Below are 4,377 nucleotides of genomic sequence, written 5' to 3'. Positions count from 1 at the left end.
CGCGGAATTCATCTATTTCATCTGGGTTATCCAATTTATGAGCACACAATTATTTATAGTAATCTTTTATAATCCTTTCTAGGCTGGGAATGGTGGGTCATGCCTGTAATCCAACAATTTGGGAGGCCGAGGTGGGAAAATTCCTTGAGGCCAGGAGTTCAAGATCAGCCTGGATAACATGGCAAGATCCTGTCTCTTAAAAAAAAAAAAAAAAAGAGCTGGCATAGTGGCGAGCCCAGGAATTCAAGGCTGCAGTGAGCCGATTGTGCCACTGATTGTGGTTGCATCTGATTGTTGCCAGGGCAATGGAGCTAGACCTTGTCTCTAAAACATAGACAGGCAGACAGACAGACAGACAGACAGACAGAAATATATAAAGATATTCTCAAATACATTTCTGTTTTAAGTAATTTAGATTGTTTCCCTTTTCCTTAGTCTTGTCAGTTTTATTAATCTTTTTGAAGAACCAACTTTTGGTTTTGTTTTTTATTGTTTTTCTATTCTCTTTTCCATTTATCTCTGCCCTGATCTCTATTGTTTCCTTCCTTCTGCTAACTTTGGGTTTAGTTTTATTCTTCTTTTTCTAGTTTCTTAATGTGTAAACTTATGTTGTTGAATTGAGGTGTTTCTTTTTTTAATGTGTTTATAGCTATAAATTTCCTCCTTAGCACTCCTTTCACCACAACTCATAAGTTGTGTTTTTTTGTTGTTTCTTTGTTTTTTGAGACAGAGTCTCATTCTGTCACCCAGGCTGGAGTGCAGTGGTGTTAGCTCAGTGGTGCAACCTCTGCCTCCTGGGTTCAAGAAATTCTCATGCCTCAGCCTGCTGGGTAGCTGGGACTACAGGCACGTACCACCACTCCCAGCTAATTTTTGTGTTTTTAGTAGAGACAGGGTTTCGCCATGTTGGCCTGGCTGATCTTGAACTCCTGACTTCTAGCTATCCACCTCCCTCAGTCTCCCAAAGTGCTGGGATTACAGGTGTGAGCCACCACAACTGGCCACAACCCATAAGTTTGGATATAGTGTGCTTTCATTTTCATTTGTCTTTAAGAATTTTATAATTTCTTTGTGATTTCTTTGATCCATTGGTTGTTTGAGAGTGTGTTGTTTAAATTCTACTAATTTGTGAACTTTTTAAAATCTTCTGTTATTGATTTCTAACTTTATCCTGTTGTGGTCAGAGAAGACACTTTGTATGATGTCTATCATTTTAAATCTACTGAGCTTTTTTCCTTTTTTGGGACAGGGTCTCATTCTGTCAGTGGTACAATGGTACATTTTCTTTGTCATGAAGTACAGGCTGGAGTACAGTGGTACAATCTCTGCTCACTACAGCTTCAACCTCCTGGGCTCCTAAGCAATTCTCACGCTTCAGCCTCCCAAGAAGCTGGGATCACAGGCACACACCACCACGCCCAGCTAATTTTTGTATTTTTAGTAGAGATGGGGTTTCACCATGTTGGCCAGGCTGATGTCAAGCTCCTGGCTTCAAGCAATCCACCCGCCTCAGCCTCCCAAATTACTCTGTGATTACAGATGTGAGCCACTGCACCCAGCCCCTATTGAGAATTAATTTGTGATGTGTTATGTGGTCTATCCTGAAAATGTCCCATGTATACTTGAGAAGTATGTGTATTATGTTGTTGGGTAGAATATCCTGTGTATGTCTGTTAGGTCTAGTTGTTTTTTCAGGTGTTGTTCAAGTGCTGTATTTCCTTACTTATGTCTGGTCTGGTTGTTTTATTCATTTGTGAAATGAAGACAAGGGACAAAATCCTAAGACATCCCCCTTGAAAGGGAAGGACCACCCACAGAAAAGGACTGAGAGACCCCCAGAATCTATAGCTTAGCTAATTGATGGTCTTTCTCTCCTGAAGTTAGTAAAGAGTGGAAAAGATGACTCCTTCTTCAAACATGAAGAAAGCAATCTAAGTCTTCAAAGAACAGGAAGCATGAGAAAATATGACACCACCAAAGAAACAAAATGAAACTCCAGTGGCTGACTCCAAAGACATGAAGATCTACAAATTGCCTGACAAAGAATTCAAATAATCATCTTAGGGTGACATCAGCAAGATGGCAGAACAGGAGGCCCTCCACTCACCTCTCCCCACACAAACAATGATCTGGCAGCCATTCATGGACAAAACTGCCTTTGCAAGAGTTTTAATATCCAGGCAGGAGGTGGCAAAACTCTAGCAAAGCCCAAAACCAAGGAGAGCTGCTTTGAGAAGGCAGGTCCACACACCAGTGACAGGTTCCCAGTTGCAGACTGAAAGCAGCTTTGTCCTCCTATGGACTTGGGTCCAGCTCCACTAGATCATGGTCTTGCAACTAGCCCCATCCACTAAGCACCTAGGAGGAACCATGACCATTTATGCCCCCAGTAACAGGCCTTCTAACCATGGTCCTGACTGCAGAAACTAAAGCAGCCCTGACCTGGCTTCAGCCCCACTCTACCACAGTCAGTCGTGCCTGCCCAGGAATTCAGTGATGCCTTTACATGCCCTTGGTAACAGGCCTGCTGATCTCAGTCTCAGCTATGGACACTAAAGTAGCCCTGTGACTCCATTCCAGTCTTGCTTTGCCACAGTCTGGGCACAGTCCAGCCCATCCTGGGACCTGGTGAAAGACATACCATCCATTCTCCTAATAAGAGGACCACCAATCTTGAACCCAAATGTGGTCACCAAAGCTGTCCTGTGACTTGGCTCTAGCCCTGCTCTACTGTGGTCTGGAGGCAGTCCTGTCTTCCCATGGACCTACCTAGTAAGCCAGCAGGAGCTCAATCTGGGACCCACAGGGAGCTATACCAGTCCATGCCCTTGGTAATAGGCCTGATATCTGAAGACTTGACTGTAGAACTAGAAGTGGCCCCATGACCTGGCTCCAGTCCTGTTCAATCAGGGTATCAGAGGCAGTCCAGTTCTCCTGAGGATCCAGCAGAAACTGCATCACCAACCTATGCCTTGATAGCGGCCTGCCAATCAGAGATTCAGCTGCAGACCAGGCAGCAGCCATGTGATATGGCTCCAGGCCCACTTGACTGTGATCCAGTCAAGGGATCCAGCAGGAAAAGGTTTGTACCTGCTGAAACCAATCTATAAAGACAGAAAGAGATTGGGCATGGTGGCTCACAACTGTAATCCCAGCACTTTGGGAGGCCAAGGCGGGCAGACCACTTGAGGCCAGGAGTTTGAGACCAGCCTGGACAACACGGTGAAACTCTGTCTCTACAAAAAATACAAAAAAATTGGCCAGGCGTGGTGGCACATGCCTGTGATCCCAGCTGCTTGGGAGGCTGAGGCAGGAGAATCATTTGAACCTGGGAGGTGGAGGTTACAGTGAGCTGAGATCACGCCACTGCACTCCAGCTGGGTGACAGAGCAAGACTCTGTCTCAAAAAAAAAAAAAAAAGAAAAGAAGAGGTATTTGCTTCTTCATAGACATTAATGAAAGTTTGTAGATCATGAAGAATCAGCAAATATGACACTACCAAAATAAACTCATAAATCTCCAGTAATCAACCCCCCAAAAATAGAGATCTACAAATTGCCTGACAATTCAAAATAATTAAGATAGCTCAGTGAAATTTACTAGAATGTATATATCAACTCAATAATATCAAGAAAATAGTAGATGAACAAAACTAAAAGTTCAATAAAGATACAGAAATAATAAGAACCAAACAGAAATTCTAGAACTGAAGAATACAATGAATAAAATGAAAATGCAAGCTGGGTGCCGTGGCGGACGCCTGTAATCCCAGCACTTTGGGAGGCCGAGGCAGGCAGATCACTTGATGGCAAGAGTTCAAGACCAGCCTGGCCAACATGCCAAAACCCCATCTGTATTAAAAATACAAAAATTAGCCAGGCATGGTGGCATATGCCTGTAATCCTAGCTACTAGGGAGGCTGAGGCAGGAGAATCGCTTGAACCGGGAGGTGGAAGTTGGAGTGAGCCAAGATGGCACCACTGCATTCAAGCCTGGGTGACACAGACTCTGTCTCAAAAATATATAAAAATAAATAAATGAATGAAATGAAAATGCAATAGAGAATTTCAATTGCAGACTTGATCAAACAGAAGAAAGAATCTGTGAAATTAAAGACAGGACATTTGAAATATCCCGTCAGAAGACCAGAAAGAAAAAAAAGTTTATAAAGTAAAAACCTTTGGGATTTATAGGACACCACCATGAAGTGGGTCAAACATATTATGGACTTTCTAGAAGTAAAAAAGATAGAAAAGGCCTGAAAGTATATTTGAAGACATAATGGGTAAAAACTTTCCAAATTCTTAGAGGCAAGTGGGCTTCCAGACACATGAAGTTCAGAGGCCCCAAAAAAGGCCAGCCCAAAGACCATAATAC

This window comes from Homo sapiens, chromosome 22 (assembly GCF_000001405.40).
Source record: "Homo sapiens chromosome 22, GRCh38.p14 Primary Assembly".
NCBI lineage: Eukaryota > Metazoa > Chordata > Mammalia > Primates > Hominidae > Homo > Homo sapiens.
This window is presented reverse-complemented; position numbering follows the sequence as displayed.